The 17,135-nt window shown below is 39.6% G+C and overlaps 1 protein-coding gene across 30 annotated transcripts in view, besides 1 other annotated feature; it reads left to right on the top strand.

The window, feature by feature from the left end:
• EIF4G3 (eukaryotic translation initiation factor 4 gamma 3) overlaps positions 1 to 17,135 on the top strand; it is a 370,606-nt gene that overhangs the window by 43,133 nt on the left and 310,338 nt on the right. The window lies entirely within an intron of this gene.
• Positions 4,202 to 4,402: a silencer, noted in NCBI's record as "peak106 fragment used in MPRA reporter construct". NCBI's record gives its function as "represses an SCP1 promoter by STARR-seq MPRAs in K562 erythroleukemia cells {active_cell/tissue: K562}" and the evidence as "EXISTENCE:reporter gene assay evidence [ECO:0000049][PMID:32103011]".

The following is a 17,135-nucleotide window of genomic DNA, read 5'->3' as shown; positions in this document are numbered from 1 at the left end:
TTTCAAACCTTAGTATTTGTGGCCTTTGAATTTAAACAGTTGCTGTTATTAGCTTCAATTGTTAGAGATAGTGTCAATGAGTGGAATATGTCAGCTAGAAGCTACTCCTTTTAGATTTTCCACATTCTGAAAGGTAGGACTATGTTTCCTTTTTGATAGTTGCATCTTCACTCTCCTATAGGGAGCCAGTGGGACTCCAAACCAATAGCATAGACAACAGTCATTAAGAAAGAAGGCTTAGGCTGGGCGCGGTGGCTCATGCCTGTAATCCCAGCACTTTGGGAGGCCGGGGTGGGCGGATCACGAGGTCAGGAGTTTGAGACCAGCCTGGCCAATATGGTGAAACCCTGTCTTTACTAAAAAAATACAAAAATTAGCCGGGCGTGGTGGCACACGCCTGTAGTCCCAGCTACTCCGGAGGCTGAGGCAGTAGAATTGCTGGAACCTGGGAGGCAGAGGTTGCAGTGAGCTGAGATCGTGTCATTGCACTCCAGCCTGGGTGACACAGCGAGACTCCGTCTCAAAAAAAAAAGAAAGAAGGCTTTGGAAGGCTTTGTGCTTGAACCCAGCCCTATCTGTGAAGTGTAATATTATTTAAATCTGCTACATTGTCATTTTTGTTTAATAGGATATTTTTCCATTTGAAACAAATGTAGTAAATGTTCATAATGAAAAATTTGGGGCCGGGCATGATTGCTCACACCTATAATCCCAGCACTTGGGGAGGCCGAGGTGGGTGGATCGCTTGAGCCCAGGAGTTCAAGACTAGCCTGGACAACATGGTGAAATCCCCATCTCTACTAAAAATACAAAAATTAGCTGGGCGTGGTGGTGCACACCTGTAATTTTAGATACTCGGGAGGCTGAGGCAGGAGAATCTCTTGAACCTGGGAGGCGGAAGTTGCAGTGAGCCAAGATCATGCCACTGTACTCCAGACTGGGTGACAGAGCAAGACCCTGTCTCCAAAAGATAAAATAAAAATTTTTTTAAAAAAGGAAAATTTGGAAGTTTTAAAAGCTATGAAAGCTGGGCATGGTAGCTCATGCCTGTGCTTCTAGCATTTTGGGAGGCTGAGATGAGAGGATTGCTTGAGCCCAGGAGTTTGACACCAGCCTACACAACATAGTGACACCCCATCTCTACAAAAAAATAAAAAATATGCTTGGTGTGGTGGCATATGCCTGTGGTCCTAGCTATAATACTTGGGAGGCTGAGGTGGGAGGATCAGTTGAGCCCAAGAAATCCAGGCTCTGGTGAGCACCACTGCACTCTAGCCTGGGTGACAGAGCAAGACTCTGTTTCAAAAACAAATAAAAGCTATGAAGAGACAAACCCTAATTTCACTATTCAGAAAGAACCTTTTCTTTTTTTAATTCAGCATTTTTTCCTAGGCTTATTTAATTTTCTTTTTGTTGCTTTAATTAAAGCAACAAAATGCTCCTCCAGAGCATTCCAAGCTATAGATGGACAAGCAGTATCTGAATTAACAGGGAGGATTTTTTTAGAATGGTGTTTAGAAAATGATAAATTTTTATTTGAATGTTAAGGAAAATGTTTGAATCTCTCAGTTTTTAAACCTCATTTCAAGGACAAATATCACTTTGGCTATGTTTATTGAGTTTTGAATAAAAATATCTAACAATATGTTTACTTTGATACGGAGAACATTATTTATATTAATGATATTGATCTTTCTATTGCCTTCATTTTTGAAAAATATTTTTCCTCACATAAAATTCTGTGTTGACAAGTATTTTTCTTTCTTTTTTTGATTATTAAAAAAATTTTTTTTTTGAGACAGTGTCTCACTGTTTCCCAGGCTGGAGTGCAGTAGTATGATCATGGCTTACTACAGCCTTGACCTCCTAGGCTCAGGTGATCCTCCCACCTCAGCCTCCCAAGTAGCTTGGACTACAGGCACACATGACCACACCTGGCAACGTTTTCTGTTTCTTGTAGAGATGGGTTTTGCCATGTTGGCTAGGCTAGTCTCAAACTTCTCGGCTCAAGCTATCCTCCAGCCAAAAGTGCTGGGATTACAGGTGTGAGCCACCATGCCCAGCCACACTCTTTTAAAGTAGTGCAAATGTCATTGTTTTCTGACTCGTATTGCTTCTCACAAGGTCTGCTGTAATTCTTACCTGTTTACTTAAGTATATGTAATTTTTTGTTTTCTTCTTCTTGCTGCCTTCATGCTGTTTGATTTTGATGTTTCCAGGCTTGTGTGTTTGTTGGTTTGTTTTATATTTACCTTGCTTAGGATTTCTCTAAACTTCTTGGATCTGTGGTTTGGAATTTTTTTTTTTTTTTTTCTGGAAAATTCTAGGTCATTATCTCAAGTATTTCTTTTTTTTAGTCTCTTTTTTCTTCTGTGAATCCAGTTATACATATATTATACCATTTGATACTTTCCCACATTAGTGGAACCTCTTTTTTTTTTTTCTTCCCTATGTTGTAGTTTGAGTAATTTCTGTTGATACATCTTAATGTATCTTTAAGTTCGTTGATTTTTTTTTTTTTTTTTGAGGCAGAATCTCACTCTGTTGCCCAGGCTGGAGTGTAGTGGCATGATCTTGACTCACTGCAATCTCCATCTCCTGGGTTCAAGTGATTCTTGTGACTCAGCCTCCTGAGTAGCTGGGATTACAGGCGCGCACCAGCATGCCTGGCTAGTTTTTGTATTTTTAGTAGAAATGGGGTTTTGCCATGTTGGCCAGCCTGGTCTTGAACTCCTGATCTCAGGTGATCCACCCACCTTGACCTCCCAAATCCCAAAGTGCTGGGATTATAGGTATGAGCCACCGTGCCTGGCCCAAGTTCGTTGATTCTTTCATCAATTGGGCCCAGTCTGCTGACATTGTATTTTTTATTTCTAGCATTTGCATTTAGCTTTTGAAATTATTTTCCATCTAAAAATAATTTTTCTTCCTGAAATTACCCATCTATTCATGTATGTTGTCTCCTTTTTCACTGTCCTTTAACATACTAATCATTATTACAGAGAAATCACTGTCTTCATTTTTCTAGCTTCTGTATCATCCCTGAATCTGGTTGTATTTATTGCTTTTTTCTCTTCACTAAAGGTGGTTTTTTCTATATGTGTGTCTCCTAAGTTTTGATTAAGCGTTGAACATTGTATAGAAGAACAGTAGAGACTGAGATAAGTAGCATTTATGTTTGGAAATGGGCACGCCACTTCTTCCTTCAGGCCTTTACCGTGAGATATTGGGTGCTTAGTTAAGCTAGCTAGCTCACGCCTGTAATCCCAGCATTTTGGGAGGCTGAGGCAGGTGGATCACTTGAGGTCAGGAGTTCAAGACCACCCTGGCCAACATGGCAAAACCCCATCTCAACTAAAAAAACACAAAAAAATTAGCTGAGTGTGGTGGTGGGCACCTTTAATCCCAACCACTCGGGAGACTGAGGCAGGAGAATTGCTTGAACCCCGGGGGCAGAGGTTGCAGTGAGCCAAGATTGCCCCACTGCACCCTAGCCTGGGCGACAGAGCGAGACTTTGTCTCAAAAAAAAAAAAAAAAAAAAAAAAAAGAGATGGGGTCTCCTGTGTTGCCCAGTCTGGTCTTCAACTCTTGGGCTCATGTGATCCTCCCGCCTTGTCCTCCCAAAGTGCTGGAATCACAGCCACTGCACTTGGCTCTAGCTTGGGTTTTTATTGTTGTTGTCATTACCTTTGGTGTACCACAGGCTTTAGAGTCTTAAAATGGTAGCTAATTTACCCACAGTGTAGAATACCGTTGCTTGGTACTAGGTGCTAGGATTGTGCTAGGGGCTATTATCCTGATCCACCCTCATCTCAGCCTTATGCGGACCTGGTGTATCTGGCCTCATAGATGTGGCTTTGTCAGTGTTACCTCCCCTCTTCCATGTAGCAGCCAGTTTGTCTTATATTTGTGGTAGTTCTCGGGTTGGAATTTCTCACCCCTTGCCCTTGCCAATGGTAGCAAACTTCTGCTTGATGGATCAGTGTGGGATCCTAGGCCCAAAATGGTTTCCATATTCTTCCTCACTGGAATTGGGGTGGGGGGTTGTTACTTCTTCATCCTGGCAACGGTAGATTTTGGAAATGTCCTGGGGGAGAAAAGGGTTTGCTGCTTTCTCTACAGGGACCTCTGCTTCATAGCAGAAAAGGACCTGTGGAATCTCTTCAGGCTTTGTGCCTGTTCCTAGCTGTGGAGGATCTACCTCTTGCACTCCTGTTCCATCAGATGGGACTCTCTCCAGTTTCTGTCATGAAGCCAGTCTTTCTTATGAGCAACTGTGAGAGATGTGTAAAGGTCTTGCTCATGTGGAGATTTGTAGTGAAGAACTTGCAAGTGAATGTCGTACTTACCAAGTGCATTGTGTCTGGGCATTCACTTCGGAAACTGATATGCCAGTCCACACTTAACTTTGAGGAATTTATTAAACTTTTAGCAGTTTTTTTTTTTTTGAGATAGAGTTTCGCTCTTGTTGCCCAGGCTGGAGTGCAGTGGTGCAATCTAGGCTTACCGCAACCTCTGCCTCCCAGGTTCAAGTGATTCTCTTGCCTCAGTCTCTGGAGTAGCTGGGATTACAGGCACCCGCCACCACGCCTGGCTAATTTTTTTGTATTTTTAGTAGAGATGGGGTTTCACCATGTTGGCCAGGCTGGTCTTGAACGCCTGACTTTGTGATCCACCCGCCTCGGCCTCCCAAAATTGTGGGATTACAGGCATGAGCTACCCCGCCCGGCCAGATTTTTTGTATTACAACCGACCATCTCTTTCTCTCATGGTCTGTCCTTTGGAATTCAGTTCATTTTGTTTTCTTGCAAGTTCAGCTCCCTAATGGGCTAAAGAAAAGTTACGTTTTATATTATGTGGCCTTTTCTCCTTTTAAAGTGAGTGTGATATTCTCTGCAGCTTTCTTTTTCCTAAGCAGAAACAGAAATCTAATAGTAATCTTTCAGATTAATCTGTGTCAAATTTCACTGCAAGAAACATTCAAAGTTGTAATCATTCCAAGAAGGATTACAAAAATACTTGAAATACCAGGTGAAAAAACTAGATTTAGGAAATCAAGGCATTGAGAAAATATTAATAAGAATAGAGATTAAAAAATAACTCGAGCTAGGTAGAGCCATGAGCATTATACAGAAATGAAGGCCAAAGAACCTGGATAATTGCTGGATGTGGGTTGGAGTTATGAATCTGAGCTTCATAATGACCAAAGCAAAGTTATATAATTGACAATGTTGAAACTTTTTTTTTTGTTTTTGAGATGGAGTTTTGCTCTTGTCACCCAGGCTGGAGTGCGTGGCACGGTCTTGGCTCACTGCAACCTCCACCTCCCAGGTTCCAGCGATTCTGCTGCCTCAGCCTCCTGTGTAGCTGGGATTACAGGCACCCGCCACTACACCTGGCTAATTCTTGTATTATTTTTTAGAGACGGGGTTTCACCATGTTTGCCAGGCTGGTCTCAAACTCCTGATCTCAGGTGATCTGCCTGCCTCGGCCTCCCAAACTGCTGGGATTATAGGAGTGAGCCACCACACCCAGCCGAAACTTTTTTTTTTTTTTTGAGACGGAGTCTTGCTCTGTCGCCCAGGCTGGAGTGCAGTGGCTCGATCTTGGCTCACTGCAAGCTCCACCTCCCAGGTTCACACCATTCTCCTGCCTCAGCCTCCCGAGTAGCTGGGACTACAGGCGCCCGCCACCACGCCCGGCTAATTTTTTGTATTTTTTTTATTAGAGATGGGGTTTCACCGTGTTAGCCAGGATGGTCTCGATCTCCTGACCTCGTGATCTGCCTGCCTCAGCTTCCCAAAGTGCTGGGATTACAGGCATGAGCCACCGTGCCCTGCCCACTGAAACTTTTAATTTATTTCCATGAGTGGATTTTAACTAGGAAGAAATATTTTTTGCTTTACTGGCAGATCTAGTGGAGTGAATTGTGCAATTTATAAGACATCTATCTTTAACATAGATACTGTTTTTCTTGTGTTACATTTTAAAGTGTATTGTCTGTACTTTTCTCATATTTTGTGCTGGGGGAGCTGAGATAATTTCTTGAATATTAGTGCCTTGTAGTACAATGTAAGATGCTAGTTATAAGATAGTTGTTGTTTGAATCCCAGAGTCCTCAAAACAATCTTTTATTGCTAGGAAGCCAGAATGGCCTTATGCACAGGTAGGGTTAAGGAATGCATTCATTTGTTCCTTTATTCAACAAACATTAATTGCATGTCTGCTGCGTACCAGGTATTGCATTAAGAGCTGAGGATATAGCAATGAATAAAAACAAGTCATTTTTTCACAAAATTTATATTGTATTCAGATAGAAAGGTAGTACCCAGACATAATTGTCAGATGGTGATAAGTGCTGTGTAGAAAAAATAATGCAGGCCAGATGCGGTGGCCCATGCCTGTAATCCCAACACTTTGGGAGGCTGAGGCAGGTGGATTGCTTGAGCTCAGTATAATTTTGAGTCCTGAAAAAAAATTTAAAGGAGGCCAGGCATGGTAGATCACGCCTGTAATCCCAGCACTTTGGGGAGGATTGGTGCAGCCCATGGCTTTGAGAACAGCTTGAGCAACATAGTGAGACCCCATATTTACAGAAAATATAAAATTAGCCGGGTGTGAGGAGCTTGCCTGTAGTCCCAGCTACTGGGTGGGGTAGGGCGCTGAAGTGGGAGGATTGCTTGAGCCTGAGAGGTCGAAGCTGTGGCGAGCCATCATTTTGCCACTGCACTCTGGCCTGGCAACAAAGTGAGACCTTTTCTCAACAACAACAACAAAAACACCAACAATAAAAATTATAGAAATAAAAAAATACAGTATAATAACTCTTTATACAACATTTACATTGTATAAATAATCTAGAGATGATTTGAAGTATGCAGGGAGGATATGCATAGGTTTTATGCAAATACTAGATCATTTATATCAGGGAATTGAGCATCTTTGGATTTTAGTATCCACAGGACTCCTGGAACCAATCTCCTGTGGATACAGAGGGACAACTGTACTTCATCAATTGACCTAGATCCATCTCTATTAATGTGTTCTCTGATACTTGATGCCTTTATTTCCCTTATCTTTTTTATAATTGTTAGTTTTTTTTTTTAAAGGGTCTGATTCTGTGGTAGCCCAGGTTGGAGGAATGCAGTGGCATGGTCATAGATCACTGTAACCTGAAACTCCTGGGATCAAGGGATCCTCCCATGCCATTCTCGGGAGTAGCTGTGACTACAGGCAGGTGCTACCCTGCCTAGCTGTTTACTTTTTGTAGAGATGGCGGCTTGCTGTGTTGCCCAGGCTGATCTTGAACTACTGGCCTCAAGCAACCTACCTCGGCCTCCCAAAGTAATGGGAATGTTTCCCTCGACTTGACATGTTTGTTTAAGTCTCTTAAGCTTAAGAATCAATACTTTATATAAATTCAATGTAGTATTGTGGTTAAGAGTATGGACTCTGGCCTCAGAATACATAGGTTCAAATCTTAGTCTTGGGTAAGTTTTTGCCTTTTCTGTGCCAGCTTTTTTTTTTTTTTTAATTTTAATTTTTATATACATTCTTGAGACAGGGTCTCAATCTGTCACCCAGGTTGGAGTGTAGTGGCATGATTATGGCTCGCTGTAGCCTCGACTTCCTGGGCTCAAGCAATCCTCCTGCCTTAGCCTCCTGTGTAGCTGGGACTACAGGTATGTGCCACCACCACGCCTGCCTAATTTTTGTAATTGTTGTAGAGACACGGTTTTGCCATGTTGCCCAGGCTGGTCTCAAACTCCTGGACTCAAGTGATCCTCCCTCCTTGGCCTCCCAAAGTGCTGGGATTATAGGCGTGAGGCACTGTGCCTGTTCTGTGCCTGTTTTTTCATCCTGAAATAGGAATAAGTAATAGAACATTCCTCCTAAGTTTGTTGTAAATGAATTAATGTGCATAGAACAGGGTCTGTCATACTTAGTGCCTAATAAGAGTGTGTGTGTGTGTGTGTGTGTGTGTGTGTGTGTATATATATATAAAAAAATTATATATATTTATTTATATATATTTATTTATTTTCGATACAGAGTCTTGCTCTATTGCCCAGGCTGGAGTGCAATGGCACAATCTCGGCTCACTGCAGCCTCTGCCTCCCAGGCTCAAGCGATTCTCCTGTCTTAGCCTCCCAAGTAGCTGGGATTACAGGCACCCGCCACCATGCCTGGCTAATTTTTATATTTTTATTAGAGACAGGGTTTCACCGTGTTGGCCAGGCTGGTCTCGAACTCCTGACCTCAGGTGATCTGCCTGCCTTGGTCTCCCAAAGTGCTGAGATTATAGGCGTGAGCCACTGCTCCTGGCCTATTGCCTAATAATATTAGCTATTATTATTGTATGGAATATATAACCCTGGAACTTCTCTTTTAGGGGCTGTTGTCATTAAGAAAGTGAGGGTACTGTTTCAAATGTTTAAATAGAGTTTAAACATTGTTTCTGAGACTTCCCTATTTTCGTTTCCCAGTAACTTTATCAGAAGTTGAATATCATTTAGAATTCTCTCATCTTTTTAAAAGCTTTTCTTTATATCTCATATGCTGCATACGTAGAACCCAGATTTGGTCTTTTTTACACACTAACATTGTACTGGATACAAAGTTATTGAGAAATCAGCAGCTTTAAGTGGGTATGTAATTAAAATAAATTTCTTCCCTTCAAATTTATACCATTGTGGTAGCTGATACTGCCTGTTTACATTTTTTGGTAATGTGAGGGCTGAGTCACTTTTGATGAGGAATTGTGGAACTTATTTCTAAACCTGGATGTGTTGAAACAGTTAATTGAACTGGAGGTGATTTTAGATCTCCTTGGTATTAAAGAGGGATAATCAGCACTGTGGTAACAGAAAATTATGATGGAAATATTAATTCCCCTTTTTGATTAATAATTGAGTAAATTTTTCCTTAGTATTTGCTTTCACAAAAATGAAGTTCTTTAACTTGACTGGTTTAAAATGGTTATTCTCAATCTTCTTGAAAAAATTGTATTATTTAACTGTTTAGGTATGTACTTTGTTGGCTGACCAAAATAAATGCCATTTTTATGCTTCCTTTAAGAAGGATTGCACAGAAAAATTAAAAAACCAGCACATTGGGATACCAAACACTACTAGGTGGGATAGTTTGAGATTTCAAAATTCTGAAGAATTCTCATTTCCTCTACCTTATAGTCCCATGAAGGCTTCTGACTATTCCCAGAAGTCAGTCTGGCCGTCTTCTTGTTTATGTGTCAGTGAGTTATCCTCTTATAGAAGCAAAATAAAGCCTACCCTTTAGATTTCCATAATAAAGTATCAGCTTTGCTGGCTCTTCAAGGTGTTTGAAGCCAGTAGTGCCCATGTAAGAAGCAATCTCACATCTTTACTGCTTTACTGTTGGACAGTGGTTTGAATGTGTGCCAGATGAAGGACATTTCTTGAAAGCTTTGTACTACACCTTGAATTTTTTTTTTTTCTTTGAGACCGAGTCTCGCTCTTGTCACCCAGGCTGGAGTGCAGTAGTGCAACCTTGGCTTACTGCCTCCGCCTCCTGGGTTCAAGCACTTCTGCCTCTGCCTCCCAAGTAGCTCGGATTACAGGCGCCCACGACCACAGCTGGCTAATTTTTGTATTTTTAGTAGAGATGGGGTTTCATCATGTTGGCTAGGCTGGTCTGGAACTCCTGACCTCAGGTGATCCACCTGCCTCGGCCTCCCAAAGTGCTGGGATTACAGGCGTGAGCCACCATGCCTGGCCTACACCTTGAATTTGAGGAAGAGATACGTAATGTTTAAGATATTTGAAGAATATCTTAAACACAGTATCATGTGTTTCCAACTCCTAAATTGATCCCTAGATAGACCATCAGAAGGCTGTGTGTACCATAGCAATTCTGTCTCTTAGAAATGCCTTCCATCTAAAGCCTGCTCTTTGTCAACACTGGAATTACAGCACTGGATAAGGTTTGTGTATTTTTTATAGGACCTATGTGGCAGAATTTTACTTAATCATAATCTAGGAAGGAACTCTGCAGATAAGTTTGTTTTCTGTGGTTTAAAAAGTTATCCACTACAATTTGTCTTTTCCTGCCACTCACTTCCCTTTTTATTTTAACCTTAATGCCAGTAAATTTTAAGACAAGTTTTTGGCCCAAATGCTCTGATCTATTAATACTTTTTTTTTCTTTCTTTTTTTTTTTTTTTGAGACAGTCTTGCTGTGTTGCCCAGGCTGGAATGCAGTGGTGCAATCTTGGCCCACTGTAACCTTTGCCTCCCAGGTTCAAGCGATATCTCGTGCCTCAGCCTCCTGTGTAGCTGGGACTACAGGTGCGTGTCACCAAAGCCAGCTAATTTTTTGTATTTTTAGTAGAGACAGGGTTTTGCCGTGTTGGACAGGCTGGTATTGAACTCCTGGTCTCAAGTGATCTGCTCATCTCGGCCTCCCACAGTGCTTGGATTACAGGCTTGAGCCACCGCATCTGGCCTCTGAACTTTAGATATTGAAGGCATCGCATCTTTCTTTTTTTGATGAACTGTTTTTCCCACAGTGTTATGTCTTGTATTATTTAAGCCTACCACTGTCTCAGAGTCATTGTGGACTAGGGCAGATTAAGAAAATTGGAGATCCTTTTGTGACTAGACAGATGTCTTACAACTTTTAAATATTTTGATAATTTACCATTAAGAAAGAACGGCAATGATAATGGAAGACACAAGAGGAAAAGCCTGGCCATCAAGCTGTATAGCAGTTTTCCAGAGGCTTTTACTTTTTATTGGGATTGGATTATATTAACCTTACATTCATGTTCCAACCGTGTAATTTTGCCCTAATACATTATTTTAACTTTTCTCTAGCTTCTGTAGACATCATGATTCCTGTCTTGCTTGAATCCGAATCTGTATAGCTTGAAACAGCATTATTACTAGTATAAGTGCAATTACACATCATCCATATGTGTAATACAAACTGGCAGACTAAGACCCCAGCCGATATGTTAAATGCATTGGAAAGGAGTTTTTCACACATTTAAATTGTGTTATTTTCTTACATGAAAGTGCTCGATATTATTGGTTTGGGCTATAATAATTGAATCACAGTTGAACTTGAATTCACCCAAACTGAAAAACATCTCGTTTGACCTGTTCTGTATCAGTGTGCTAACTGCTGAAGGTATTAAAACACTAGGTGTGTGAAAGCATATTAAATAAGGATATGTTTATTTAAAAAGCATCCGGTTTAAATTTGCAACTAATTTTCCAATTTATGACATGCAAAAAAAGTAATTCTCCTTTTCTGTCACCTTGTAATTTATAAAAATCAACAGAAAAATAAGTTACATGGTTTGAATTAGTCATTTAGTTTTTTGGTTTTCCAGTATATGGGAGGATAGAAATTATTTGACTTCTTGCTTCTGTTTACATGATTTTGCTCTGAGTAATTACAGTTTATTCTTTTCGTATAAAGGAGTTTTCATATCTTGAAAATTGTCCATCTGAGGGTAAGCATGGTATGAATGTAATGCAGTAGAAATACTACATTGAGAGCTCATCTAAACTCTTTCAAATTCAAATGTGTCATTGTTTTAAGCAGAATTCTCTCTAATCCTAATGTTTATTGTTTACATATGCATGAATTCATTCCAGAGGGGGAATTAGAGGATGGTGGCTATAGGCTTTGTTGGGACTGGAGCTCATGTGACCTGGGTTCAGTCTTGGCTGTGACTCTCACCAGGTGTGCGAACCTGGGAAAACCACCTAACCTCTTTGTTGCTTAGCTTCCTAATCTGTAAAATGGGCTTAATAATAAGCCCATTACCTCATAAGGTAACCTACCTTACAGGCTGTTTTGAATCTTCAAGGTTGGAAGGCAGTGAAATGTGTATAATGGCCAGTGTATACACACGTGTTGTAGTTAAGATACATTGTAAAGGAACCTGAAGGTTTCCTCTCCCATTTTTGTAGATTGATGGATTAGTTTTTTTTTTTTTTTTGAGACGGAGTCTTGCCCTGTCACCCAGGCTGGAGTGCAATGGCATGATCTTGGCTCACTGCAACCTCCGCCTCCCAGGTTCAAGTGATTCTCCTGCCTTAGCCTCCCGAGTAGCTGGGACTACAGGTGTGCACCACCACGCCTGGCTGATTTTTGTATTTTTAGTAGAGACGGGGTTTCAGCATGTTGGCCAGGCTGGTCTTGAACTCCTGACCTCATGTGATCTGCCCGCCTTGGCCTCCCAAAGTGCTGGGATTATAGGCGTGAGCCACTGTGCCCGGCTAGGTGGTATTTTTGATAATTTAGGTCATATATTAGGTTCAATACTCAGTTCGCATATTTCTTAAAATTTAATTTGCACTCATAAATTGAGGAAATGAAATATACATGTATTTATTTTAAACTTTTGAAATTACACTACAAACTCTGCTTTTTGAGTAATTTTGTGTTTGAAATAATATAGGAAGTATTTACATTTATTATAACATATGGAAGCTCTCCTTTAATAATAATTGTGATACCATTTGTTGAATGTCTACTAATGTCTACTAGGTGCCAGGGTTGTTAAGAATACCATTTTAGACTGGGTGTGGTGGCTCACACCTGTAATCACAGCACTTTGGGAGACTCAGGAATTTGAGACCAGCCTAGGCAACATGGTGAGACACTGTCTGTATAAAATATTAAAAATTAGCTGGGCATGGTGGCTCACTCCTGTAGTCCCACCTACTTGGAGGCTGAGGTGGGAGGACTGCTTGAGCCCAGGAAGTTGAGGCTGTAGAGAGTCAGGATCATGCCACTGCATTCCAGCCTGGGTGACAGAGTGAGACCTTGTCTCAAAAACACCCCAAAAACCATTTTACAGGTTAGGAAACTAAACTTGTTGGTCTGACTTAAGTTTATGCTGCATATTCCTTAGGAAGCTAGTAAAAAGTAAAAAAGAAGGTAAAGTTCATACTCGTGCTCTTATACTGAGATGCGTATTAAGTAATGTGAGTTGAGATTCATATTCGGTGCCATAGTCTTTTTTCTTAACCCCATCAATCAATTGGGATATGCATATTTATAACTGGTATCTTGGATCTATTAGGACATATTTACTGAAGACTATATGTATTTGTATAATAGTATGTTAGATTTTTTTTTTTTTTTTTTTGAGATGGAGTCTCACTCACTCTGTTGTCCAGGCTGTAGTGATCTCGGCTCGCTGCAGCCTCTGCCTCCTGGGTTCAAGTGATTCTCCTGCCTTCTGCTCAAGTAGCTGGGATTATAGGCATGCACCACCATGCCCAACTAATTTTTCTATTTTTAGTAGAGACGAGGTTTCACCACATTAGCCAGGCTGGTCAGCCTCCCAAAGTGCTGGGATTACAGATGTGAGCCACTGCGCCTGGACATAGATTTTTATTAGTTGGTTTTTTTACATCAGGACATGGAGTGCTATTGTTAGTTTATGATTTGACCTAATTTTGCTTACAAAGGAGTGATTACTCAATTGGAACAGACTTAATGATGTGTAATTGAGAGGAAATAGAGGAAAAGAAGATGGACTGGATTGATAAATTGTTGTAAATTTATAGATTATGTAACTTGTCAAAAGTGACAGCATCATTTATCTAGTATGTATATTTTAATTTTCTCCATTGTGCGAAAATAAATGCTAGAAACGATCTTTGCAGATGGACTATTGGGCCACAGTCTTAAGAATTTGGTATATTTATATTCCGTGTTATAACTTTCACCAACAGTCTTCATCATATGTTTTCATAATTGTGAATGAGACCCATATTTTAGAAATTTTATTTTTATACCTATAGAGCTGACATTTTAGATAATTTTAGAACAATCACAATGATTAATTTTAGAAATAGTTTTTAAGAGTCGTTAAATCGATAAATGTGTATGTGTAGAAAATTTCTGGAAAGATGCTTAAGAAACTTGATAGTGGTTACTTTTGGAAGAAAAAGATTGGATGATGGAAGATACTTTCTACCTTACATCCTTGTATCCTAGTCCTTTCTCTTTTATAGCCTCCGTACTATATAAATGTTTTTCTTTAACAATAATTCAGTGATACTTAAAAAAAGTAATAGTTAATAGCACAAGCCACCTGCAGATCTATAGGTTATGGTTATATCTATAGTTTCTTTGTCCTTTTTCAAATTACATAATATTTACTTTTTGTTTGCCAAATAAAGTTAACTTATTCTTTGTGTATCTTTTTCCTTTTATTCTCACTGAAATACCATTTTCTTTCACTAGTCAGCATGATTTCCAGAAAATATGGTGGCCCTTTGGGGCTATATTATTCATTTGCAAATCATGACCCGGGAAAATTAGGTTGCAAACTGTACATGAATTTGGTATTTTATTCTCCGTAGTCATTTTATAAAGGAAATTTAGCTATGTTACCTTCAATAGGTTACTTTATTTCTCAAGTCTTTTTTTTTTCCCCTTTTATTTAGTCAGACATTCATTTCATAAGATTATCTCCCAGGGCTCTTTCAAATCTCTCATTCTATAAGCATTTCATACCCATTTCAGCTCAAAAGATGGCATTCAGTAGTTCTTAAAGTAGTGTTATAAACAAAATTTCTTAAACTAGATAGGCTTCAGAATAATCTTTAATTATTAAAATGCATTTATTTGCAATCTAATTTGTCTTACAAGCTAATTCTAATGTAGCTCTTCATAAAGTCAGCCATATACATACTTAAAATCTCAGTCATGGAGTTGGATTTTTAAAAGAAAATTTCCAGTAATGCAGATATATTAACTTCATATATATGTATTTTTAAAAGAAAATCAAAATTTCTTCTCTTTTTTTTTTTTTTTTTTTTTTTTAATAGAGCTTGGTTCTCAGTATGTTGCCTAGGCTGGAGTGTAGTGGCTATTCACAGGTATGATCCTGGTGCACCTATAGCTGGAACTATAGGCATGTGCCACTGTGCCCAGCTCTCAGCATTTCTGTTTCTTTTTTTTTTTTTTTTGAGATGTAGTCTCGCTCTGTCGCCCAGGCTGGAGTGTGGTGGCACGATCTTGCCTCACTGCAACCGCTGTCTCCCAAGTGCAAGTGATTCTCCTTCCTCAGCCTCCCAAGTAGCTGGGATTACAGGCACCCGCCACCATACCCAGCTGATTTTTGTATTTTTAGTAGAGACGGGGTTTCACCATGTTGGCTAGGCTGGTCTCAAGCTCCTGACCTTAGTGATCTGCCCGCCTCCGCCTCCCAAAGTGTTGGGTTTACAGGTGTGGACCACTGCGCCGGGCCCAACATTTCTATATCTAATCTTAATACTAGAGAATGAGCCTTTTCTTTGTTTGGAACCTGAAAGGAAATGATGCTTTATGCTACCTGTAGCTTCACAGATAATTACACAGTGGGTTATCAACCAAAGCTAATTAAACTATGACAGTTTCTTTCGTTAATTGCATTTTAGTTGGTTCAGTTATGGCAATGAGGAAAATAGTTATGATCCACACCCTGAGGGTTTACTATTTTCAAAGTGTTGTATACTGAAATACGGAGGTGTCTGGTTATGAACCTGTATTACTTGTTCATATGTGAAGTGCTTAGTGAGACAATGAACTGTTAACTTCATAGAGAACTGCATTTGGTTATGCGGCCTTTGAAAAATGAACAAAATCATGAAATTTCTTAATAACTTTTCTAATGTCTTCTCAAATAAAAGGAGTGGGATTATCTTTGCTGGAATCCAAATTGCAAGCCAAAAGACTGTGTCCTCTGTGGATTTCTCAGTGAACTAGTTTGCAGGGGCCAATGTGAGATAAAAATGCAATTCCTGGAATTTGGTTTAAGAGTAAATTGAAATGTAGTATAAGTAGGGTACATGAGTCCTTTTTTTGGCTGGTCTGTGTTGAACAAAGACCTAGTAGCTGCATGCTTGGAAAGCTTTCCTGTGTTCATGCAATCTTCGTCCTTATTGTAGCCAGGCAGCTGAGGAGATATCCCCTAAAGAGGCGAACTCCCCATCCTCCCACTTCTGCTTTTAATTTTTTTTTTTTTTTTTTTTTTTTTACTATATACTGGGACAGTGAAAGGCCTTCCATTGACCAGAATTACAAAGAGTGCTTTCATGCTCAGGGTTTAGCCATACCCAGTGTACAGGGCTTTTGTTAGGGCTTGCACTAGTCCTTTCTCTCTTACCTCCCTCAGTCTTATTATTCATACTTTGCAGCAGCAACTGTATCATTTTGAGAATTTTACTTCCTTATTTAAAAATAAATAGTTGCAAAAGAAAAATTCAGTTTTTTATAATGAACAATGCAAAGCAAAGCTTTTATTGTGTTTATTTGGATAAAGAAAATACACTGTTATAGCTGAGTGCCACACTGCAGCATTTGGTTTTGTTGAAATTACTCTTTGTCATTTAAAAAGTACAGTCAAAATAAACATTATTTTTTTGTGTGTGACCGTATCTCATCTAACTCATTGTTGGTGCTTGATACTCATTCATGAGATACAAGAATCTTTTACCAGTGCCAGGTGATTTTGAAAATATTAATGTTTTTATGTTAGATAAGATGAAAAGGAGAGTTTAGACAATTATGTGGATAATTCAAAAATGCCTTTAGCCTCAGTTCAGATTGACATATCTCCTTAAGATTAATCTTGTTAGTATTGTCTTTGTCCTTCACCTTTCTTGTATAGAAGTTAACCATTAAGGTGAAATAAAAAAGTTATTATTTAATAGATATTACATTTGGATATGTAGTCTTTATCAGATAGAGCTGGACTATATTTTACAATTTTATTTCCAATTTGCAATACCCAAGAGTTCTCTTTCATTTTTTTATGCAAGTGATTAATCTTTTAATGAAATGTTTAATGCATATGGAAAATTATAAAAATAATATAACAGATACTTGTGTGCCTGCCACCCAGCTTTGTTGTATTTGCTTTTTTTTTTTTTTTTGAGAAGGAGTCTCACTCTGTCGCCCTGGCTGGAGTGCAGTGGTGTGATCTTGGCTCACTGCAACATCCGCCTCCTGGGTTCAAGCGTTTCTCCTGCCTCAGCCTCCTGAGTAGCTGGGATTACAGGTGCACGCCACCACGCCCAGCTAATTTTTGTATTTTTAGTAGAGACAGGGTTTCCACTATGTTTGTCAGGCTGGTCTCGAACTC

Source organism: Homo sapiens, chromosome 1, assembly GCF_000001405.40.
Source record: "Homo sapiens chromosome 1, GRCh38.p14 Primary Assembly".
Lineage (NCBI taxonomy): Eukaryota > Metazoa > Chordata > Mammalia > Primates > Hominidae > Homo > Homo sapiens.
Note: the sequence above shows the minus strand (reverse complement) of the source record. Positions and strands in the feature narration are given on the sequence as shown.